Raw genomic sequence first — 24,110 nt, forward strand, 5'->3', positions numbered from 1 at the left:
CGCCACTGTGCTCCAGCCTGGGCAATAAAGTGAGACTCCATCTCAGAAAAAAAAAAAAAATCTCATTGATAATTTTCATCTCAGCTTTGAATATTTGGGGTAATCAGATTAAATAAAATATATTATTACAATTAACGTCACCTCGTTTCCTTATCTTACCAGAAAGATTTTAAATTACATATGTGGTTTCTATTGGACAGCAGCGGCACACACCCTCTCAGTATGTTTTTCTTTATTATGAGCTCCCCAAGGGCCAGTTTATTGAAAATTCTGCACAATGATTGCTGAGGTTTGCACCTCCCCTCCTCTCATTCCAGTTTTAACCCTAGCTCTGAAATTCGTGTTTTGCTTAACTTCTTTGAGTTTCAGGGGCTTTTCATGCTTCCAGTAGGAATGACAGCCACTTCGTGGCTCTTTTAGGAGCATTAAGTAAACTTTATCGGGCAACACTGACAGCCCCGTCATAGTCACCGCGACGGCCAGCTCACCCGGTAGCTCTCGAAGGCCTCGTCGATGGGTGCCATGGCGTGAGTCTGGTGCTCCTGGGACTCCCTGCACACCAGGCACACTGGCCGCTGGTCGTCCTCGCAGAAGAGCCGCAGCGGCTCCCAGTGGCGGCCGCACAGGCCCGGGGGCACGGGGCCCAGGCGCCGGCGCTGCGTCTTCTCAGTCAGCCTGGCCAGGGCCCAGTTGGGTCGCAGCGCGGCGGGCGCCGATGGGTGCCGACATTCGGGGCAGGGGAACGGGCCGCCGCCCGGCGCCCAGTTGCGGTGCAGGCAGCCGCGGCAGAAGTTGTGGCCGCACTCGATGGACACCGGGTCCTGGAAATAGTCCAGGCAGATGGGGCAGGTCAACTCCTCCTGGATGTCCTCAGCTTCCATGCTGCTTCCCTGCCGCGGAGACGGAGTCCGACGTGAGGCGCGGGAGAGGCCAGCAAGCTGCGAGCGGCCGCGGGGAGGCCAGACGACTTCCGAACCGCCGTCACCGCCTCACGTAAAAGGGTACAACGCAGTTTCTCTTCCGGGGTTCAGGACCCAAAAAGAACGCACGGACGTTGCCCGGCCTGAGCGCGCAAGACCGGAAGCTGCTGGGTATCCGCGCCGGAACCGCGAGGGGGTTGGTTCAGGCCTAGGCGCGGGGCAGGACGGGACCGGTGAGTGGCTCCTCCAAACAGCTATAGAGACCCAGAAATGCCTGTGGAAAGCTACAGAGGACTTGGGCAAGGCGTTAGAGCCGGACGTTGTGGTCCCTGGGGGAGCCAACCGGGGAGGTGCCTATGATCTTTCTTTCCAAGTTTGAGGGTTCAGGTCTGTGTTCGCCTGCTGGTTAGACCGATTTAAGTTTTAGAGTCCCAGGAGTTCTGGGCGAGCTGCAGCCTAGGGGCCTGGAAGGCCAGGAAGACTTGAAGGATCTGTGTTGGTAGGCCTGGAGTTTGGCTAACGTGGGGATGATTTGGATTCTGAGATGCAGATACATTGCCTTTTTGGTATCCAATTTGAAAAGTAGCAACCATTTTGCTATCCCAAAGAACATCCATGGAGGCTTTCAACAAATAATATGCTCACCTGTTTCAGGGAATTATCTATATCCCTTAAGTGGATTTTCGATCTTGTGTTTCTGAGGTGCTTTGCTTTTTATTCTTCCCACTTTCTTCCTTTTCTTGTGAATATTTGTTTAAAACAAAAAAAACTCTGGACTGACAAATTTAATAGAAGCTATTTGCACAAAGAACAGTTCATGAATTGGGCAGCACTCAGAACCAAAAGAGGTTCAGAGAGCTCTGTCCAGCAGTATGACCTGCTAGCTTTTATAGGAAGCAAAGTAGAGAAATCACCTCATTAGCTAACATCTAGGTGTCTGCCTTATTTGACAATGATATGATGAGGCATTTGCCTTATTGGGGCATGGTCTGATCAGTTGGCTGTCTGTTATTTGCTGAAGCTCGGCCGTGATTGGCTGAAACCCAGCTGTTATAAAAAATAAAGTAAGTTAGGCTTCAGTTCGTTTACATACTAAGTCAGGTTGTATTTTGTTATATGGGAACTCAAGTACCAAGACAGCCTCAGGCTAATGGGCTTTTGCTTATTTAACAGATTTTTCATTCTTTTTATGTCCCAATATCAAATACTGCCTTTCCTATAATAATTTTTCTCAGTAAGTAGTATGATTAAATGATTAGAAAAAGGGGTTCTTGAGGTATCTGTTTGGGGGTTATTGATGAAAGTTCCACTGAATATTTCTAAAACATTTAAATTGGACAACTAATGAATGGATTTTCTTTGCAAATTGGAATACTCTATGGAGAAGGGATCTGGTTCTTTAATAGGGACCAAGCAGGAAGGAATGCTCTTAACAGTTACTGATGTTTACCATGAGTGTTTATGGCATCTGTGTGTCTATATGTTTACCTAAGTATTGAATGAGAAGTTTCAGCATTCCTGCAAAGTATTTATTCCCCTTACAGTAGTCATTTAAATCTTTTCAGGTAAATCCCTTAAAATCCTTATGTCTTTATTCCTGCCATACCAGAGATGACCTTCCTTCTTTACTAAGTGAGGCTCCCTAATTAACAATTTTTCTCCATCACAAAATGTCTATAAGTCTGTATACCAGCCAAGGTTCATTCAGAGAAGTGGAATCACTATGTTTCTTTATGTTCGCAGGGCAAGCAGTTAAGAAGGGAAGATGAACATAAAGTAGGGAAGAGCAAAAATGAGTTGGAACCTAAGACACGAGCTGGTCATTCTTTCACTGTCTCCAACTTTAAAGATATGAGTATCCTTGCTAGAGGAGCTGACACTTTTTGCCACAGGACTAGACACACACACAGCTCAGGAATCAAAAAAGGTGAAGGAAGACTCAGGGAAAAGCTTCTGCCCCATCCCAACAAGGTGAACCAGCTGATTGGTGACAAAGTAGATGAGCCGCAGTAGCACCTAGTGTCCCTGCACCACCGTTTCAAGTATAAAACTGGAGGGATGCTTCAGTTCTCCCCTTCAAGACTTACACAACCATGTCTCTGTTGGGCTATTCTAACCAGAAACAAAAGGAAAGGAAATTCTGGGAAACATAGTTTAGCTTAGCAAAGTTGATATATTACAAAATTACCACTGTCCACTCTGCATCGAGTTGACATCCATACAGACCTCTTTAAAACACACTTTCAAAATAAAGTCCACACCCTACACATAAGCTATCTCTAGAGAAATTTGAAGTCTGTTGTGCACTGAGGATAACCACAACAACAAACTGTAAACCTAGCCCAATTTCTGACTAGACTGATACCACCGAACCACTGCTATGCACTCAAGAGCACTAAAGGCCTAGCAGAAGGAAAGACACACTCATCTCCAAGCATAAAAACAATCTTTACTTCATACTGTGAAGAGAGAATTGAAAAAATAATTTAAGCAAAAAAAATACAACATGACTAACTTTTAACAGAAAGAAAAAAAGACGCATACAGAAAGGCAAGAAAAAACACAGTCCAAAGAGATAAAACAATCATTAGAACCAGATTCATAAGACATAGACATTAGAAATATGAGAGAATTTTAAATAACTGTGATTAATGTGATGAAGGCCCTAAGGGGAAAGGTGAACAAAATGCAAGCTCAGATGGGTGATTTTAGCAAATAGATGGAAACTATCAGGAAAAATAAAATGGAAACTATAAAAATAAAAAATATAATAATAGAGATGAAGAATGCCCTCCATGGGCCCATTAGGAGACTGAACACAGTTGAGGAAAAAATCAGACTTGAAGGTAGGTAAATAGAAATTGCTGAAACACACACACACACACACACAAAAAGAGTGACAGAAACAGAACACAGCATCCAAGACTGGTGGGAAAATATCAACATCAAATCAAGAAATAGGCGCAGTGGCTCACCCCTGTAATCCCAGCACTTGGGGAGGCCGAGGCAGGCAGATCACGAGGTCAGGAGATCGAGACCATCCTAGCTAACGCAGTGAAACCCCGTCTCTACTAAAAATTCAAAAAAATTAGCCGGGCATGGTAGCAGGCACCTGTCGTCCCAGCTACTCGGGAGGCTGAGGTAAGAGAATTGCGTGAACCCGGGAGGCGGAGCTTGCAGTGAGCTGAGATCACACCACTGCACTCCAGCCTGGGCGACAGAGCAAGACTCTATCTCAAAAAAAAAAAAAAAATCAAGAAATAATGGCTGAGAATTTCCAAAATTTGTAAGACACCAAACCAATCCAAGGAGCTCAGAGAACACAGAGCAGGATAAATTCTTTAAAAAGAAACTAAGCTTATTGTATTCAAACTAAGCTTATTGTATTGATACCTGGTAGTTATAACTTACCAAATACACTGCCCAACATCTCCAGATGATCTATTATTTCTGAAAGTTTCCTTTATTACATTTCTTACTTCAGGGAGATATAGCCTTCGCTTCATGTTATGGTTGGTGCAGTCAGTATTCTCAGAAAGAAAGTACTGGTTCCATTTTACCTCCATCTTTTGTTTCCTGTCAGAAAACCTACCATACCACCAAGTACTCCTTCTCTACACTGCCTCTGATATTTAAGTAATTTGAGAATTCTGTTGAGACTATCTCCCTTTTTTGGTATGATGAATCTGGTCCTAAATTGCATGCCAAAGACTTTGAGAACTAAACTGTAGACCCAGATCTCATGTCCCAGACTGGCCTTTTGTTACCCACACAATGAATGGGTTAAATTGCTTGGCAGGGGACAGTCCAATGACCACAACCAAGGAGGATTTCCCAGGGGGATTTTATTACTTGCGATAAGTAAGGAGGACACTGGGAATAATTCCCCAAAGCAATGCCTCCCTGAGCAATGGTGCAAACATGGCTTTTATTAGTCTGGTTAGCTGAGTCATTGTATGTAGAGGTGGAGTCAAGGCAGCGCAGTCCCAGTTGTCGGTTATGCTGCTACATATGTCACATGTATAGAAAATGGTGAATAAGCTCCTCCTTGGACAGGATTTTAAGTATGGTGATGAGGAAAGTTGGCCAAAGTTCATCTCCAACTCAGGCATCTCTGGGTCCAACTGGTCTTTGTTTTTCCTGGGCTAAGCTTCTTCCTGGAACTTTTTAAAACAAAAATTCAAGATGTAACAGTTACAAGTGTGTAACTTTTTCACAGTGCGTACCCAAAACCCAAGGACCCTGGGTTACACTTTAGGTGCCACCCATGTGGGACCTATCAGAAGAGTACTACAAAGGCTTTGAAAACTGAACTGACATTGGAACCACAACCCTCAGAAGGCTGGTCAAAACTTATGACTTGAACCCAAATGGGTTAATTACCCTTTAAAACATAAATATCAACATCCTCCACCAAATTTAACCAAGACCCAGAGCATCCTAATGACATTCAAAATGTCCAGGATACAATCGATATTAATTGGCAGGTGAAGAACCAGGAAAATCTCAACTCACGTTGGGAAAAAATGTAACAGATGCAGAATGTAAGTTGCCACACATGTTGGAATTATCAAGACTATAAAGCTGCTATTCAAATGGAAAGTTTAAAAGTCTCAGAGAAGTAATAGAAAATACAAAGAATAGCCCCATGGAAATTTTAGAACGGGAAAATACAAAAACCGTCATCACATCATATCCGGGGCACATGCTGTCAACATTGCTCATCACTGTTGATGTTAACCTTGATCACCCGGCTGAGGTAGTATTTGATGGGTTTCTCCCTGTAAAGTTATTCTTTCCCCTCCCCCTATTTTACTGTTTAGTGGGAAGTCACTATGTGCAGCCCATGCCTAAAAAGGGAGTAGTTGGTGGGCACGGTGGCTCACGCCTGTAATCCCAGCACTTTGGGAGGCTGAGTGGGTGGATCACCTGAGGTCAGGAGTTCGAGACCAGCTTGGCCGACATGGTGAAACCCCGTCTCTGCTAAAAATACAAAAATTAGCCAGGCATGGTGGTGCACGCCTGTAATCCCAGCTATTCAGGAGGCTGAGGCAGGAGAACTGCTTGAACCTGGGAGGCAGAGATTGCAGTGATCCTGCCATTGCACTCCAGCCTGGGCGATGAGCAAAATTCCATCTCAAAAGAAAAAAAAGTGAGTAGTTATATTTCCCCTCCTTGCGGTGGAGTATCTACATTCTTCTGCATGAGAAATTTGTCAGTTATCTCCTATTTATTCAATTATTTATATTATGAATTCATGGATTCCTATTTTATACTTTGGGTATAATCCAATACTATGTTGTTTATTTTACTGCTCAGATTATTCCTGTGTTGGCCATTGGGAACTTTTTCAGTTGACATCTGTGTCCCTTTGACAAACTCCTGTCATTTTGTGGGGAAGAGGGAGTAGCACTTTCTTACTTTCTACCGCTACAAAATCCTCCAGTCTTATCTTGTATTTCTCTTCCCTAACCCTAAAGTCAATCATTCTCATTTCTCTAATGATAAATGATGTTAAACATCTTTTCATATGCTTTCTTATTATCTGTATATCTTCTCTGATGATTACCAAGGATGGGAAGGGTAGTAGGGGGAAAGTGGAGATGGTTAATGGGTACAAAAAATAGAATGAATAAGAATTAGTAGTTGATAGCACAACAGGGTGATTACAGTCAAAAATAATTGTACATTATAAAATAACTAGTATAATTGGATTATTTATAACAAAGGCTGAAGGCTTGAGGTGATAAATACCCCATTTACCCTGATGTGACTATTACACATTGCATACCTGTATCAAAATACCTTGTATACCCCATAAATATATAACCTACTATGTACCCATTTAAATAAAAAAAGTTTTTAAAAAAGAAATAGTGCTGAGACAATTGAATATCCACATGCAAAAGATAAAGTTTGACATTTATCTTACACCATACACAAAAATTAACTCAAAACCAACCAGAGACCTAAATGTAAGAGCTGAAACTATACAACTCTTATGGAAACATAGGCATTAATCTTTATGGCTGTGAATTAGGCAATAGTTTCTTAGGTAATACACAAAAATCATAAGCAACAAAAGAAAAAATTGGATGTTAGACTTCATTAAAATTTAAAACTTTTGTGCATCACTATCAAGAAAGTGAAAGACAATCATAGAATGGGAGAAGATATTTGGAAATCATACATACAATAAGTATCTAATACCCACAATATATAAAGAGCTCTTACAATGCAACAACAAAAATACAAAAAACTCTATTTATAAATGGGAAAAGGATTTGAATAGACATTTCTCCAAAGAAGATATACAAATAACCACTAAGCACATGGAAAATGTTCAATGTAATTAGCCATTAGGCAAGTGCAAATCAAAACTACAATGAGATACCACTTCACACCCACTAGGATGGCTAGAATTTAATAGATAAATAAAAAGTATTCCCACATTGCTGGTAGGAATGTAAAAATAGTGCAGCTGCTGTGGAAAAGAGTTTGGCAGTTCCTCAAAAGTTGAAACGTGGAGTTTCCTTATGACCCAGACATTCTATTCCTGGTTATTTATGCAAGAGAACTGACAACATGTGTTTACACAACACTAAAACTGGGGCCAGGTGTGGTGGCTCAGGACTGTTGTTCCAGCACTTTGGGAAGCTGAGGCAGGCAGATAACCTGAGGTCAGGAGTTTGAGACCAGCCTGGCCAACATGGCAAAACCCTGTCTCTACAAAAAATACAAAAATTAGCTGGGTGTGGTGGTGCGCACCTGTAGTCCCAGGTACTCAGGACGCTGAAGCAGGAGAATCGCTTGAACCCAGGAAGTGGAGGTTGCAATAAGCCAAGATCACACCACTGCACTCCAGTCTGGGTGACAGAGTGAGACTCCATCCCAAAAAAAAAAAAAAAAGTGGTACACATATGTTCATAGCAACAGTGGTCATAAGAGCCAAAAAATGGAAACAACCCAAATGTCCTGAAACTGAAGAATGTATAAACAAAATGTGGTATCTCCTTAAACAAAATGTGGTATATCCTAACAGTGGAATAACACTCAACCATATAAAGGAATGTAATACTGAAACATGCCACAACATGAATGAACCTCAAGTTATGCTCAGTGAAAGAAGCCAGACATGAAAGACCACATATTGCATGATTCCATTTGTATGAAAGAGTAGGAAAACCAATAGAGACAAAACCATATGATGGTTGCATGTTTTGGGTGCTAATAAGAGTTTGAGAGTAACATGAGGGGGTAGGGTTTTTTTAAGTTGATGAAAATGTTATTAAATTGGTAGTGTTGATGGATATACAACTCTGAATATACTAAAGGCTATTTAATTGTATACTTTTGTCACTGGTAGAGGATAGTGACTGCAAGTTGTCCAGGTTCTTGGCGTTTTGAACAAGGAATTGGACAAAACTCCTAGCAAAGCAAAGAAAGGATGAAGCAACAAAAGAACGAAAGCAGGGATTTATTGAAAACCAAAGTACACGCCACAGTGTGGGAGCAATCCGAGCAGCGGTTCAAGGGCACGGATACACAATCTTCTTGGGTCCCAGTACCCACTAGAAGTTTCCCTTTGGCCAGTTCATGCTTTGCAGAAAGCAACCAATCAGAGGCTAGGAAGAAGTTACGAAGTTGCAAAGGAAGACTCATCTGCAAACAGCCTGATTTGTTGGGGACAGGCAATTTCCCATCTGCTGCACAGAAAAGGTGGGGGTGTTGCAAAGGGAGTAGCCTCTGGTCCTTGTGTTACTTAGGCAAGGAAAGTTAGAGTTTTCCTTTCAATTTAGTCCTAGGAAGTTGGCGTGAAACAGCCTTAGGTTCCCTTCCTCCAGAACCTATTCTCCTGCCTCACTTTAAGTGGATAAATTATATGGTGTATGAATTATATCTCAATAAAGCTGTTTTAAAAGGGGGTGGTATAAGGAAGAATTCCAAATGATGCTATTTGCGTTTTTCCTTGGTCACTTTGGCTGGGCTCTGGCTACAGTGGATGAGGGATTCTTATGAAGCACTTGTGTAGCAGGAAGAAAAAAAAAATTTCCTAGCTATTGCCAAAGCATCCCTTGGGATCCCCTAACTTACTTGGGGATAATTTGGGATTCAGAAAGAGAAAAAAAAATAGATAACTGCCTTTGTTGAGAATTTCAGGGCAAGAGAAAACTAAGAAAAGAGGGCAGCGTTCTGTTAAAAAAAAAAAGGGATAGAACAACACTGTCCAACAGAAATGACTAAGAGACTCGAGAAGACTGATATTCAGATTGCAGTTACCCGCCGAATCACACTGTGATGTCAGCCTCCCTTGCTGTTACTCCCAAATCAGCATATCAGCAGTAGAACTCTACTGCTTTTTCTGTGTGGTATTGAGGGTTATGAAATTAAAGAGTAGGAACTTGGTCCAGCATGAGTTGCTGCAGTTCTGGAGACAATTGTAACAAGCTGCAACGAGAACTGCAGAAATGAAGAATGAGAATTGAGCAGAAATCAGAGCTATCAGTGATCAAGGGGGCCTAAGCCCCTGAATTCACAGTAATTTTCCTTAAGGATATGGCCGGGTATTTGGATAAATCTATAGATATTAGAGGACACTGACTTATATATGCTTGAAGCCCAGAGTTTCTGGCTTATGACATGTGCTGCAGGTCTGAGGGGCATTCATTTACAAAACTTTGATGATAAGGGGAGCAGAGAATGTGGAAAAACAGAAAAGAGGTAAATGAAGCCAGTGAGACAGGAAGGGGCATTATCTTCAGCAACAGGAATGCCAACAGCAGTCATCAATATTTATTGAGCAGGACAGGGGAGAGACACAGTTTAGGGAGGCTTCTCCCGGCTGACTCTTGAACCAAGCCCATAAAAATTGTGATGCTGACACCAGAAAATTCCAGTGAAAAGGCACAGTCAGGAAATGCTTTAGACTACATGGCCCAAGGGGCCCTTAGAGATCCTTCAACAGCCTCTAATTTGTCACAGACATGAATCCCCACTCACTGGATGTTGGAAAGAAGATTCAATCACAGAGTTTCCTTCAGGCAAGTCAGGTGTCTTTATAACTCTGCAAAGTAGAGAATCAAGAAGAAGCTGAGATTTTTCCTAAGTGGAGAGAGACCTAAATGGAAGTTCAGGAGGGACAACGGACTAGCACTCTTGTCCTTGTTCGCTGGAAGGAACCATCAAGTTGATGGGGATGGACATTGGGATAGATTTTGAGAGCAAGAGAGAACAAAGAAAAGGGTTGGGAGTGGCGGTCAGAACACATCTGCCTAGAACCTGGTTACCTACTTTGTAACATGCAGAAGTTGTACTTCCCAGAAAGGTGAGGGACCTGCCCCGGGAGGAGATCATCAGGACACAAACATCAGTGACAGGAAGAGAGCGTGTCCTTCTCACCTGCTTCTTGAAATTGCTCTTTGGTTTCCACCACTGGGAGGCTATCGGTTGCTTTCTTGTGTCTTCTGGTGCTCTCTGAAGTTAGGAAGTATTTAGAAGAGGAAGATTTGTGCTTCCAGGTCCTCCACCATCTCCCCAAACCCAGAAGCACAAGCTCCAAAAAAGTAAACAAGAGACAGAAACCGCTGACTCCAAACATGGTCTTTAGGAAAATGGTCTTCTCAGAGGGGCGGGACAGATTGCAGGTTATACTACCAAGGCAAGGTTCTCGGCGACATGCAAAGGAGCTGGGCATCTGGAACCCATACAGGTGGTACTGCAACCCCAGGGCTGCCCCCTCCAGGACAAGCCGAGCCCCCAGCTGAGCCACATAAGCCCAGAGCAGCCTGAGGCTTCCAGCCCCTGGGACATCTGTGTTGCCCTCCCGTCCCTGGATCAGGGTCTCCTCCTCCTTCCCCTTTCCTGATAATTCCCAGTGCCAGATCACGTGATACAGAGTGAAACCCATATAGAGGGCGCTGGGTACAGCCACCAAGATGACCTGGAAGACCCAGAAACGCAGCGGGGAGAGGGGGTGGAAGGCATCGAAGCAGGCAGCCTTGCAGCCCGGCTGCTGGGTGTGACACACGAATTCACTCTGCTCATCACCATAGACTCCAGGCCCACTGGCAGCCAGCAGCACAAGGCGGAATCCCAGGAGCACGGGAAGCAAGAGGCGCCCCACGGGGGTGGAGCGCCGGCTCTCCTCCGCCAGCAGCCGCCGCAGGAACCTGCCACACATCCTGTTTTGGAGCAGAGGACAAGAGATCAGTGTTGTTCACTGTCCTTCAGAGGGAGCTCCAGTCCACCTTGTCACTCCTAATCCAAGGATCACTGAAGGCAAGCTTTTTTATTCCTCTCCAAGTATCTGACTGATTAAATACCAAGACTCTGATTGCACCTCTTTACTACTTAATGAAATCATCTATGTAAAATAATAACAGTGAGTGTGTGTGGTGTGGCTCTCTCTTCTGCCCTCCCCTTCTGTACTGCTGGAGTGGAGAGGAACTCTCAGGTTGGAGAGACCAGGATACATCTTCATCTCTCTCTTTCCCTCCTTCCCTCCGTCTCTCTTTCCCAAAGGCTGAACGTAAGAGAGTAGACTGGGATGTTTTGTTAATTTTCCTTTGAAAGGTATTGCTTCCCCAGCTGATGGCTGCCAGGCCTGGTGCTCCTACAGCATCATCTTAAGCAAATTAGTGCTGATGCTGAGAGGGAATGTGCATTCTCTTGCGGTCTTCTTTTCTCTTCCTCCATGCCCTTGGATGATCACAGGTGTGTCTGGATGTCCTCTTCTCCCATCACAGTGGTAAAGTTGAGAGGTAGTTAGGTTATGGGGCTAGATGTGATGGATGAAATGAACAGAGCAAGCATCGAGGCTTGCTTTAGTCTGATGCTCTTAGGCCTTACAAGCTGAGGAAGAAGAGAACATTTGGAAGGTAACCCAGCAGAATTTACCAGAATTACATACTATAGGATTTGGGGCCAGAGCCAGAACTGACTAGATAGAAATTCAGATTTTTGACCCCCACTTGCCATTGTTCCTTGGGCATATTATCTCCCTCATGGTGACAGGCGACCATGATCAAGGATAAGTTTCAGAAATCCCTCTGTTCCCCAGCCAAAATACCACAATGCTACAAGCCCAAGTTCACCATCTCTATATTTGTCCTAATCAGCTGCCTTCCCCAATGCCCAGCAGCTGTTTCAAACCGTCCCCATTTAGCCTAAATTCTCACTCATCTGGTTACCCTCACACTCAGAAGACCATGTGGTATGGTCTGAATGATGATCAAGATGCATATGCTAGAACCTAATACAGTAGTCCCCCCTCTTATCTGCGATTTCACTTTCTACAGTTTCAGTTACCCACAGTCAACAGAGGTCCAAAAATATTAAATGGAAAATTCCAGAAATACAAAATTAATGTTTTAAATTGTGTGCTGTTCTGAGTAGCACTATGAAATCTCACACCATCCCACCCAGGATGTGAATCATCCCTTTGTCCAGGGTATCCAACGCTGTAGACGCTCCTTGCTGGTTTGTGACTTAATCGCCATTTTGGTTATCAGATCAACTATCAATACTCGTTCAAGTAACTCTTATTTTACTTAAGAATAGCCCCAAAAAGCAAGAGTAGTGATGCCAGCATATTGTTACAATTGTTCCAGTTGTTCTATTTCTTTTTTTTTTTTTTTTTTTTTGAGACGGACTCTCGCTCTGTCACCAGGCTGGAGTGCACTGGCACGATCTTGGCTCGCTGCAATCTCTGCCTCCCAGGTTCAAGCAATTCCCCTGCCTCAGCCTGCTGAGTAGCTGGGACTATAGGGGCGCACCACCACGCCGGGCTAATTTTTTGTATTTTAGTAGAAACAGGGTCACTATGTTGGCCGGGATGGTCTCAGTCTCCTGACCTTGTGATCCACCTGCCTCGGCCTCCCAAAGTGCTGGGATTACAGGCATGAGCCACCATGCCCAGCCACAATTGTTCTATTTTCTTAGTAGTTATTGTTGTTAATCTCTTACTGTGCTAATTTGTAATTAAACTTTATCATAGGGATGTACATATGGGGAAAAAAAACATAGTATATATGGAGTTTGGTACTATCCACAATTTCAGGCATCCACTGGAGGTCTTGGAACATATCTCCCACAGATAAGGTGGAAGTGCTGTACTCAATGTGATAGTATTAAGAGGTGGAAAGGTGGAAGTGCTGTACTCAGTGTGATAGTACTAAGAGGTGGAGCCCTTACCAAGTGTCTTAGTCCATTTTGTGTTGCCACAAAGGAGAACCTGAGGCTGGGTGATTTATAAAGAGGTTTATTTGACTCACAGCTCTGCAGCCTGCACATCTGCTTAGCTTCTGTTGAGGGTTTCCATACTGTGTCAAAACATGGCAGGGAAGGTCAAAGGGGAAGAGGGACCAAACCCAAGGGGCATCCTGGCTTTACAACAACCCACTCTTGAGGGAACTAATCCATTCCCTCAAGAATGAATCCAGTTTCACAGAAGCGATAACCCACTCACTGCCACAAGAATGGCACCAAGTTATTCATGAGGAATCTGCCCCCAGGACCCAAACACCTCCCCCTAGACCCCACCTCCCAACACCATCAAACTATAGGGATTAAATTACAACATGAGATTTGGTGGGAACAAACAAACTGTATCAAACCAGAGGTGATTAAGCCTTGAGGAAAGAACCTTCATGAATGAGATTAGTGCTCTTATAAAAGATGCTCCAGGGAGCCCCTCCATCCCTTCCCACTGTGTGAGGATACACAAGAGGTGCCATCTAAGAGGAACAAGCCCTTGCCAGACACTGAATCTGCTGGTGCCTGGATCGTGGACTTCTCAGCCTCCAGAACTTTGAGAAATAAATATCTCTTATTTATGAATTACCCTCTCTAAGGTATTTTGTTATAGTAGCCCAAACAGACTAAGACACCACGAAAACCTCTTACTCCAAAGAGAAAATAGAGACACTGATGTGAAACCCCACAGATACTACTTTCTCTTATCTTAATATTTACTTCCTTTTCTAACATTGTAGAGAAAGAAGTGGACCTACAGTTATCCAAGTTTACTCTGCCTTCCAAATCTGTGTCCTTGGGTCTCATCTTTCCTGCTTCTTCAAGGATTTGTTCCCCAAATTATCTTCCCTGTAATTTGGACTTCCCCTGTGGTCTCAGTCAGAAGGATGGGTTGAGATGAGTCCCAGGGACAATTCTAAGGGTCTCAATTGACCAGAGAAATATGTCATCATTCACCAACTGCAAGACACTATATTTTGAGCCATTAAGAGTCAGAGTTTGAGTTCATCTAGGTTGGTCACGCATCCTCCCTCAACCAGCCCCATCTGTGAGGATACCTGCAGCCCTGCCCCATCTTGTAAGTCTAGGGGGGGTGTCCCTGGATTTATGGGAAGCATCCCCAGGGCTCTGAGGGTTTCTGTCCTTCCTCTCTTGAGAGTTATCAGACTAGATGATCATTAGGTAAATTCTCAAGTCTTGCTGTCAGCCTTGTTTTATTTCGAAGTGCAGGTCCAGCACCCTCTAAACACATTTCCGTCACATTTCCAGCAGACGTGGAATTTCACACAGGGTGGGTCTGACATATTTCAAGGGTCAGGGATTCAAATCATTTCCAGAGGCCGTACCTAGTGTCCCCTTTCTTTCTGTCTCTCCCATTCCCACCCCAGGCCCATGAAGAGACACCTAAATCCTCTCAGAGGCTCTCAGAACAAAGCTGAGGTCTCCAGAGCTCACCACAGAGCTTTGGGGTTTTGGAAAGGAGAGAGGGGCAACAGTAGAACAAAAGGACCTGCCCAGGGCCCCTTGGTTTGGAGCTCTCATATCTAACCCTAAGCACCCTTCCTTGTCATTCACCTGCCTTCACCTGCAGCTGTTATCGCCAACACAATGCTTATGTCCCATGCTTTCAGGGCCTTCTGGAGGGTTCAGACAAAACTGTGCTTTCTGTCCCAAAGTCTGCATACCAAAGGGACCTCCCTATATGATAGCCTCCTACCCCCTTACCCCCTGCTTTTCAGGGACCCTGTGGTCTCTCCAATCTGGTCCAGCTGTCCCCAGCTCACCTTTCTCTTTCCCTAAGACCCACATCCTCCTCTCATCAACAAGTCTGCAGCTTTGCCCCACGGTGGACAGGGCCCCCAGGTCAAACTTCAGGACCTAGAGAGCTGAGGCTGAGAAGGAGGGGGAGATGTACCAAAGCCCCCAGCTCAGCATTGTTGGAAAAGCTCGGCTGAAGGGACACCCCTGTTTCTGAGTAGAGAAACAGCTTGCAAATAAAGTTGTCTGGGAGGTAGTAGAATTGGAGCTCTGTCAGGATTTTAGTCAGTGAAGCAACACCTGTGAGCTCAAGAGTTGGGAGAGGAAGGAAAGGCCAGGGTTTGGAGAAATTTTCTAATATCCAAACAGATTTTGAAATTCCATCATGATTTTGGTGTGAATTTTTCTTATCATCTCTTGGGAGAAAACGTCCAGGATTCTGTTGGTGGCAGAATCCATGTCAAAGAGTTAAGGTATGAGGGAGGGAATGCCCACCCCATCTGGCCTGGAATACCTTCTAGATGCTTTTATCCAGTGTGGCAACAGAGCAGCAACACTGGCATCACCAGGCATGCAGAATCTCGGGCCGTATCCCAGGCCTCCTAAGTCATATCTGAATTTCGATAATATCCTCAGGTATGATCATGTCAGAGTTGGAGAAGCCTCTCGAGAACCCAGAGCAGCCCCCCTACCACCACCACCACCACCACGAGGCCCTGAGCCAGCTCAGTGGCTCTCTGTCCCTGCACTCACCCAGTGGCTTTCAGCAGAAGCATTCACAACAGGGGAGAGAGGCCGAGAGAGGAGTCCTCAGGCTGGAGCCTGTGGGGTCCCACACTTCCCTGGCCCAGCCTCCTGCCACCACCTACTTCTTTTCCCTCCCCTTTTCATTCCTGGCAGCCTTCATGAAGGGGAAAAGAATTGCAGCTGGAGCAGCAGCAGGCCTGCTGTTAAAGAATGAGTTCTGCAGAATAACCAACCCTCTGTTGTTGAGAGTGAGGGGTGTTTTCAAAGTGAACTGAAACAGGGATTTTCAGATCATCTGAAGGGGGAGCAATGGCTTCAGTGTGTTTCCAGCACTGGGGCATGAAGGCAATGACAGGTAGAATAAAACCCCCCTGCTCTCCTGCCCAAAGTAGCTGAAGCACAAGCTTACCCACAGAAGAATGTGTGTGTGCACGTATGTATAAGTGTGAGTGTGTATTTGTATGTCTTTGTGTGTTTGTGTGTGTTTGCTTCATTTCCTCAGACAGCCTTCATCCCAGAATTTGTGGTGATTTCGGGATGTCCTCTCCTCTTGGCTGGGAGAATAGCACAGACTCCCCGCCACAGCATGATGGGAATCTGCTCCACGTCCCTTCAGGAATCCAGAGAACCCAGACCCCTCTCCGTCAGGCCCAGGGAGAACTGTGACGCCTGTCCCCATGGCCATTCCTAGCCCCACTGCTAGAGCCAGGAGTCTCTCCAGAGATACCGCCAAGAATGGGAAGCAGCAAAGTGAGGAGAGTAACTCACAGGGCTGAGGGAGTGTGCAGAGAGGGACTGGTCTCCTGTGTTCGAAGTGACAGTGCTCAGGGTCAATGCTGGACTCTTCACAGAGGAGATGCCAGAGGCAACCTCATGTATTAGTCCATTTTCACGCTGCTAATGAAGACATACCTGAAACTGGGCAATTTACAAAAGAAAGATGTTCAGTGAACTTACAGTTCCACGTGGCTGAGGAAGCCTCACAATCATGGTGAAGGCAAGGAGGAGCAAGTCATATCTCACATGGATGGCAGCAGGCCAAGAGAGAGCTTGTGCAGAAAAAAAAACCTATGAAAACATCAGATCTCCTGAGACTTATTCACTATCACGAGAACAGCACAGGAAAGACCTGCCCCCATGATTCAATTACTTCCTACCAGGTCCCTCCCACAACATGTGGAAATTCATGATGAGATTCGGGTGGGGACACAGCCAAACCATGTCACCTCGGTTCCAGATACTGCCCCTCACTAAGGCATGAGGCTCAGTCACAATAGTCCTTTCTATTCATGAGAACAACCACTTCCTGGGTGCAAAACATCCTCATAACCCAGGACTGAAACAGACGTCCACCACCCAAAATCCTATTCCCAGATGGCCTTCCTTTCCTCAGACTCTCTCCAGGACTCTAGTACCTTCTTGTCCAAAATATCTGCTGCCAGCAATTGGCTCTGCAGGACTGTGGTCCCTGCAGCAGCTAAGATGTCCTAATTCTCTGGTGCTCTCCATGGATTCAAGGAGGGGGTCTTGAGAACATTCTCCAGCCAGTGAAGCTTCTTGACTGAAAGGGGACTATCCTAAGTGCCTCTGGGAAGCCTTGCAACCTTCCTATGATTCCCAGAATGGAGCAGCCTGCAGAGCATCCTAAGAGAAACTAAGGTCCAAAGAGAAATTTTCTTGGCACCTCTCTCTAAAGCAAAGGAAAAAAATAGCACAAAATAGCATATCAAAAAAGCATCTTACTAAAATTATATTGAGAGCTTATACAAATTATAAGATAATTCTAAGTGCACCGGTACGTAAACTTAGCAAAGACATGAAAAGACCATTCATAGAAAAGGTTATTCAAAGCCTGTAAATGTTTAGTCCAGGTAGGAATCAAAGAAATAGTAAAATAGTGATGAAATACTATTTTTATCCACTTGTCACAGACTAGTTTTGTGTAAAGTGATCATATCACACTATTTTTTTTTTTTTTGAGATGGAATCTCACTCTGTCACCCAAGCTGGAGTGCAGTGGCGCAATCTCAGCTCACTGCAACCTCCACCTCCCAGGTTCAAGTGATTCTCCTGCCTCAGCCTCCCGAGTAGCTGGGACTATAGGCACATGCCACCATGCCCGGCTAATTCTTATATTTTTAGTAGAGATGGGGTTTCACCATGTTGGCCAGGCTGGTCTCAAACTCTTGGCCTCAAGTGACCTACCCGCCTCAGCGTCCCAAATTGCTGGGATTACAGGCTGAGCCACTGCGCCCGGCCATATCACACTTTATAACCTGGGCATGCAGGCCAATTCCAACGTCTTCCATTCATCTGCTGATGGTCTTAAGATTCCAAGGGCAGCACCCTTAGCCCTTGCTCTTGGGGAGAAGAACTCACAGCACACCTCTCTCCAAAAAGATCTTCTCTCTTGGCTGGTCAAAGTGCAGTGCTGTTTTCAAACAATTTATCACAACCAGTTACAAATGTCTTTGTTCCTTCTCTACTCCCACTGCTTCACTCAACTAGCCTAAAAAAAGAAAATAAATTTAAAAAAAAAAAACAAAGATATCTTCTCTCCAAAGTTAATTCTCTCTCCCTGTAATTTCCAACAACTCTGCCATTTTATACAACTTTGATGTGGGTGTAGATTTTAAGAGTAGCTTAACCTTTATTTATTTATTTATTTATTTATTTATTTATTTGCTTTTCCTTTGAATTGCTGCATCTCAGACCAGCAAATCACTTTGGAATATGATATGTGTTGTATTTCCCAAACATTGCATCTCGAAATCCCAATCAAAATTTCCAGTTTAACATCCTGTTTGACTAACATTATTCAGTGCTTAATAAATGATGGATTTTTTTTTTTTTTGAGACAGGGTCTCACTTTGTCACCCAGCTGTAGAGCAGTGGTATGAACACGGCTCACTGCAGCTTCAATTTCCCAGGCTCAAGTGATCCTCCCACCTCAGCCCCCCAAACAGCTGAGACTACAGGTGTGCACCATCATGCCCAGCTAAGTTTTGTAGTTTTTGTAGAGACAGGGTTTCTCCACATTGCCCAGGCTTGTCTAGAACTCCTGGCCTCAAGCGATCTGCCCACCTTGACCTCCCAAAGTGCTGGGATTACAAGTGTGAGCCACCATGCCCAGCCTTGAGTTAATTTCTGTGTATGTTGTGAGGTAATCTCATTCTTTTGCATATGCATATCCAGTTGTCCCAGCACAATTTGTTGAAATGACTGTTCTTTCCCGACTGAATTGTCTTGACACTCTTATCAAAAATAAATTGGCCATAAATTTAAGAATTTGCTTCCCAGCTTTCAATTCTATTCCACTGATTGAATTTATGTTTATGTATATTGTTCTTCTTTTTCAATATTTTTTATCTACTTTGGGTCTTTTGTAATTCTGTTTGAATTTTAGGATCTGTTTGTCTATTTCTTCAAAAAAGGAAACTGGAATTTTTATAAGGATTGCAATGAATTTTTTTATCAATTTGAGAGCACCACCATGTTAACAACATTAAATCTTCTAATCCATAAGCATGGAATATATATTATTTATGTTTTCTTTAATTTCTTTCAACAATGTCTTGAAGTTTTCTGTGTAGAAGCCTGGCACTTCCTTGATTACATTTATTTCTAAGTATTTTGTTCTTCTTTATGCTATTGTAAATTGAATTGTTTTCTCATTCTCCTTTTTGTATTGTTTATTGCTAGTGTATAGAAATAGAATTGATTTTAATATACTCATCTTGTATACTGTGATGTGGCTGAACTAATTTATTAATTATAGTAAGCTGTTGTGGGTTCCTTAGGATTTTCTCTACACAAGATTATGTCATTTTCAAACAAAGTTTTATTTCTTCCTTTCTAATCTAGATGTCTTTTTTTCTTGCCTAATTGCCCTAAATAGAACCGCCAGTACTAGCTAGAGGTGTTGTTGAATAGGTGTGATAAGATCACACATCCTTCTCTTGTTCCTTCTTCTAGGAGGAAAGCTTTCAGTTTTGTATATGTCTTTTATGTTTACCTATGTCATTACCTTTGCAACTGTTCTTTATTTCTTCATATGATCTCTTACTAGCATTCTTTCATTTCAGTCTGTAGGACTTCTCTTAGTATTTTCTGTAGGGCAGTTATGCTAATAATAAATTCTCTCAGTTTTTATTATCTAGAATTGTCTCAATTCCTCCTTCATTTTTGAAGGATACTTTTGCTGGTTGTAGAATCCTTGACTGACAGCCCTTTTCTTTCTGCATTTTGAGTATATCGTTCCAGTGTCTTCTGGCCTCCATGGTTTTGAGGAGATATCAGCTGTTAAACTTATTGAGGATCCTTTGTCCTTAATGAGTTGCTTTTCTCTTGCTACTTTCAAGATTCTCTCTTAAGTTGTTGTTGTTTTATCTGGTCTTTGACTTTTGACAGTTTGATCATCATGTACCTAAGTATGGATGTCTTTGAGTTTATCCTACTTGGAGTTTGTTGATAGCAAATGTGATGCATTTGCAACCGTATATTTTCTCCATGGAAACACTATTTTCTATTAGCCATCTCCACAGATCCCTGAAGGTCAAGGCCCTTTGGCCATAATTTCAACCTTCCTGATTATTATAATAATAATAACTACTTTGCTTCTGATTATTAAGTGCTGCCAAATAGCTTCTGCTGATTCAGAATCCTATCATTCCTATTGCTATTAGGGAACCAGTATATCCAGTATATAAGGGCATCTGCTGTCAGCCTCCGTCTACAGAGGATGAACACTACTGAGATTCTTACAGCTTCTAAACTCCTCATCACCAGCACATTCATTATTTCTTTGGTGAAAATGAGTATTATCCAGGACTTCCCAAGGAATAGAGTCTGGTGGTGGATTTTCCAATCTTTTGTTATAGATCTATTCTCCCACATCCATTTCTCTGAGAACTGTGAACCCTTTACTCACAATTTTCCATATGAGTTCTGACATCTCAACTTTATTAATAGAAGCTCTTGTTGTTTTCCAGCTTTCCAAAAGCCACCCCAGTATCATTTCATATCAACCTCCTAAGAATAAACTTGCTAGGGTGTTAAATCCTGTGTCCCATAAGAATGCCCTATATTGACAAACTCCTACATCCAGCTTTCTATTTTTAGTCCCCTCCCTTTGATCCAGGATCTTCAGAATCTTCTCTCTGATTTATTTTCCTTGCTCCTGATGACACATGTTGTCCAAGTCTTGAAGCTCCTTTAGTATCTAATCCATCCCTCTCCTTAGTAAGTCAAGTACTTCCCCAGTTGGGCCATGCTAAGATTTGATTTTTGTTATGGGTCTAGTGGCCAAAGGGGGAGGTGCAACACATCCTGAGGGGAGCCAGCATTTCCTTACAATGAATTTGTCTAGTGTAAGACTTTTGCAAGGTTTTCAAGCAAGAGTGGGCCTCTATCTTCCAATAAAAAGTGTGAGCCACTTCTGCAGGTCCAAATGGTCCAGAATAATCTGATGATCCAAGGACCTCAAAGGGCATCTATCTAATATCACCATCCCATGTCTCAGGGTCTTATTCTTTCCTATTGAGGTCCTGGTTTTGGTACTAGAAACTTCCCTAGGCTGAAAAATTTGAACTTCTCTGTAGTTATGCCACTCTTAAAGTTAAATATTCAGCCTGGTCTCTCTGCCTTCAGGCAACGAGAGATAAGGGTCTCTTTAAATGTTGCCAAGAAGGCATTGTAACTCTTATATTTTGCTTTAAATTGATTACTTATTGTCCTGAGCCTTTCATTTTTTTCTCTTTAAGGCATCACTGAAGCTCAGTAATAGCCACCTAATTCCATAGTCCTTTATTTTATTTTATTTTGTTTTGTTTTATTTTATTTTTGAGACAGAGTCTCACTCTTGTCACCCAGGCTGGAGTGCAATGGCGTGATCTCAGTTCACTGCAACCTCCGCCAAGTGATTCTCCTGCCCCAGCCTCCCGAGTAGCTGGGATTCCAGGTGCCCACCACCATGCCTGGCTAATTTTTGACTTTTTAGTAGAGATGGGGTTTCACCATGTTGGCCAGGCTGGTCTTGAACTCCTGACCTCAGATGATCCACCTGCCTCAGCCTCCCAAAGTGCTAAGATTACAGGCGTGAGCCACCACACCTGGCTCCATAGCCCTTATACTTGCAATTTGTCTTATATCTCTTAAATGCCAGACACATTACATCAGCCAGTGAATCTAATTCCACCTGTGTCCTAGCCTAGTTATTCCGAGTAAAAGTCTTAACACTTGCACTGCTAAAGCAAGTCAGAAACTATGCCTGCCATCAACATGGCTGTCCCCCTTGCCAGAGGGCTGACAAGTAACCCAGCCCTAGAATCCCATTCTTATGTTGTGCTTCCTAGGACCGCTCCTGGTACCCACTGTCTTAGGTTTGATTCCTTAGAAGCAGAACTTAAAAGAGACTTGAATACATGTGATTTTTTAGGTTGGACTCACCAGTAAAAATCTCTAAGGAAATAGAGGAAGCAGAAAAGGTAATGTAAAAAAAAAAAAAACTGTGCCAAATGTGATCTCAGGTAAGGTTTGAACTTGATCTTGTCCACAGGGGACCCTGAAGCATAAATCATACCACAGATTTTATCCACTTGAGGTAAAAGGGCTGTTCTTTTGTACTCCAATAACATTCAGTCATTGGCATTGGGATGCCATCGGGGAGAGGAAGAAATCATATTATCCCGGGTGAAGCCATCTCTTTTTTTTATTTTTATTTTTTTTGTTTGAGATGGAGTCTCACTCTGTCACCTAGGCTGGAGTGCAGTGGCATGATCTCGGCTCACTGCAAGCTCCGCCTCCCGGGTTCACGCCATTCTCCTGCCTCAGCCTCCCGAGTAGCTGGGACTACAGGCGCCTGCCACCATGCCCGGCTAGTTGTTTGTCTTTTTAGTAGAGACAGAGTTTCACCGTGTTAGTCAGGATGGTCTCGATCTCCTGACCTCGTGATCCGCCTGCCTTGGCCTCCCAAAGTGCTGCGATTACAGGCGTGAGCCACCATGCCCGGCCAAGCCATCTATTTAGAAAAGGAGAGAGTTCATGAGCCAATAATAGCCACCATTAACAACAGCCTGTGAGTGGGCATGCCAGCCCAGAAAAGGACATCTAGACAGGGCACCAACAGTAGATAAGAATGACAGTAGCTTTCTTGTTGGAAACAATATAAGCTAGAAGACAGTGGAAAAACATGTTTAAAGTAATCAAAGGAATAAATTGCCAATGTAGAATTATATACCCAGCAAAAATATTTTTCAGGCCAGGTACGGTGGCTTACACCTGTAATCTTAGCACTTTGGGAGGCTGAAGTGGGCAGATTGCTTAAGCTTGGGAATTCAAGACCAGCCTGGGCAACATGGTGAAACCCCGTCTCTACAAACAAAAAAATACAAAAATTATCCAGGTGTGGTGGCACACGCCTGTAGTCCAGCTACTTGGGAGGCTGAGGTGGGAGGACAGCTTGAGCCTGGGAGGTGGAGGTTGCAGTAAGCTATGATCACATCACTGCACTCCAGCCTGGGTGACAGAGGGAGACCCTATCTCAAAAATATTTTTTTTCAAAAGCTGAGGCAAAAATTAAAACTTTTTAAGATATATAACAGTTGGAAGAATTCATCTCCAGAGTGAATGAAAAAACATATATGCACCATGATAAATGGTAAAGGAAGTCCTTTGAGCTAGAAGAATTTGAAACCAGATAGAAACCTGGATCTACGTTAGAGAATAAAGAACACCAGAAGTGGTAACTATGAGGGTAAATATAAAGATTATTTTTGTTATTATTTAAATCGTTTTAAAGATAATTGATAAAGATAATTAACAAGGACAAACTTAAGAGAATATAGATGATAGTCGTGAAAAGGCACTTCACAGAAGAAATCCAAATGGCCAATGGACAAATGAAACGTTTCCAGAGTCAACCCTTCCCCACTTTATCTCTAAAGATAAAGACAAAGATAATCTTTCACTTAAAGCGAAAAGATAACAATGTATTATGGGGTTTATAGCATATATTGAGGTAAGATATATGGTAACAATTATATAAAAGCCAGGAGGGAAGAAATGGGAGTATACTGTAAGGTTCTTACAATGTGTGAAGAGTGCTATAATATCAATTGAAGTAGACTAATAACATGAAGATATAAACCATAAGCCTAAAATAACCCAAAAAGGGTTATAGTTAATAATACAAACATGGAGGTAAAAATAAAATTATATATAAATATATGCTCAATCCAACAGAAGGTAGAAAAAGAGGAAAGGGGGAACAGATCAAACAAATGGCACAAATAGAAAACAAATAGCAACATGAGAGGTTTAAACCTAACCATACAAATCATCACATTAAATATAAATGATCTAACCATTCCAATTTATAGGCAGAGATTAACATATTAACTTACAAAGCAAGACCTAACAGTATGCTGCCCAAAG

The 24,110-nt window shown here is 43.2% G+C and overlaps 2 protein-coding genes and 1 long non-coding RNA gene across 6 annotated transcripts in view, besides 6 other annotated features; 1 reads left to right on the top strand and 2 right to left on the bottom strand.

Moving 5' to 3' along the window:
* The window catches only part of TRIM4 (tripartite motif containing 4), a 29,128-nt gene extending 28,118 nt beyond the window's left edge, over positions 1–1,010 (bottom strand). For both annotated transcript variants that reach the window (NM_033091.3, NM_033017.4), the window contains exon 1: positions 489–1,010. In NM_033091.3, coding sequence (NP_149082.1) covers positions 489–881 — 393 coding nt within the window. In that variant the 5' untranslated portion in view covers positions 882–1,010. The remainder of the gene's footprint in view (positions 1–488) is intronic.
* Positions 582–741: a silencer, noted in NCBI's record as "silent region_18411". NCBI's record gives its function as "represses an Ori minimal core promoter by ATAC-STARR-seq in GM12878 lymphoblastoid cells {active_cell/tissue: GM12878}" and the evidence as "EXISTENCE:reporter gene assay evidence [ECO:0000049][PMID:35858748]".
* Positions 872–921: an enhancer, noted in NCBI's record as "active region_26328". NCBI's record gives its function as "activates an Ori minimal core promoter by ATAC-STARR-seq in GM12878 lymphoblastoid cells {active_cell/tissue: GM12878}" and the evidence as "EXISTENCE:reporter gene assay evidence [ECO:0000049][PMID:35858748]".
* Positions 952–1,031: an enhancer, noted in NCBI's record as "active region_26329". NCBI's record gives its function as "activates an Ori minimal core promoter by ATAC-STARR-seq in GM12878 lymphoblastoid cells {active_cell/tissue: GM12878}" and the evidence as "EXISTENCE:reporter gene assay evidence [ECO:0000049][PMID:35858748]".
* LOC101927610 (uncharacterized) lies at positions 1,083–6,794 on the top strand. 2 transcript variants are annotated; one of them, XR_001745295.3, is made up of 2 exons: positions 1,083–1,419; positions 2,664–6,794. It is a non-coding gene; the product is annotated as an uncharacterized LOC101927610 (long non-coding RNA). The 2 variants fall into 2 exon arrangements; XR_001745296.3 differs by having other exon boundaries at positions 1,083–1,307.
* Positions 1,272–1,381: an enhancer, noted in NCBI's record as "active region_26330". NCBI's record gives its function as "activates an Ori minimal core promoter by ATAC-STARR-seq in GM12878 lymphoblastoid cells {active_cell/tissue: GM12878}" and the evidence as "EXISTENCE:reporter gene assay evidence [ECO:0000049][PMID:35858748]".
* GJC3 (gap junction protein gamma 3) lies at positions 4,746–12,227 on the bottom strand. 2 transcript variants are annotated; one of them, XM_047420329.1, is made up of 3 exons: positions 10,861–12,227; positions 10,320–10,394; positions 4,746–5,083 (listed from the first exon to the last, which is right to left on the bottom strand). In XM_047420329.1, the coding sequence occupies exons 1-3, from the start codon at positions 11,098–11,100 to the stop codon at positions 5,066–5,068; spliced, it is 333 nt and encodes a 110-aa protein (XP_047276285.1). In that variant the 5' UTR covers positions 11,101–12,227; the 3' UTR covers positions 4,746–5,065. The 2 variants fall into 2 exon arrangements, with proteins under 2 accessions (XP_047276285.1, NP_853516.1); NM_181538.3 differs by having other exon boundaries at positions 10,320–11,100.
* Positions 10,313–10,898: an enhancer, noted in NCBI's record as "H3K4me1 hESC enhancer chr7:99526456-99527041 (GRCh37/hg19 assembly coordinates)". NCBI's record gives its function as "activates a minimal SCP1, AML or CMV promoter by ChIP-STARR-seq in primed H9 embryonic stem cells {active_cell/tissue: H9 hESC(primed)}" and the evidence as "EXISTENCE:reporter gene assay evidence [ECO:0000049][PMID:30033119]".
* Positions 10,899–11,483: an enhancer, noted in NCBI's record as "H3K4me1 hESC enhancer chr7:99527042-99527626 (GRCh37/hg19 assembly coordinates)". NCBI's record gives its function as "activates a minimal SCP1, AML or CMV promoter by ChIP-STARR-seq in primed H9 embryonic stem cells {active_cell/tissue: H9 hESC(primed)}" and the evidence as "EXISTENCE:reporter gene assay evidence [ECO:0000049][PMID:30033119]".

This window comes from Homo sapiens, chromosome 7 (genome assembly GCF_000001405.40).
Source record: "Homo sapiens chromosome 7, GRCh38.p14 Primary Assembly".
NCBI classification, from domain to species: domain Eukaryota; kingdom Metazoa; phylum Chordata; class Mammalia; order Primates; family Hominidae; genus Homo; species Homo sapiens.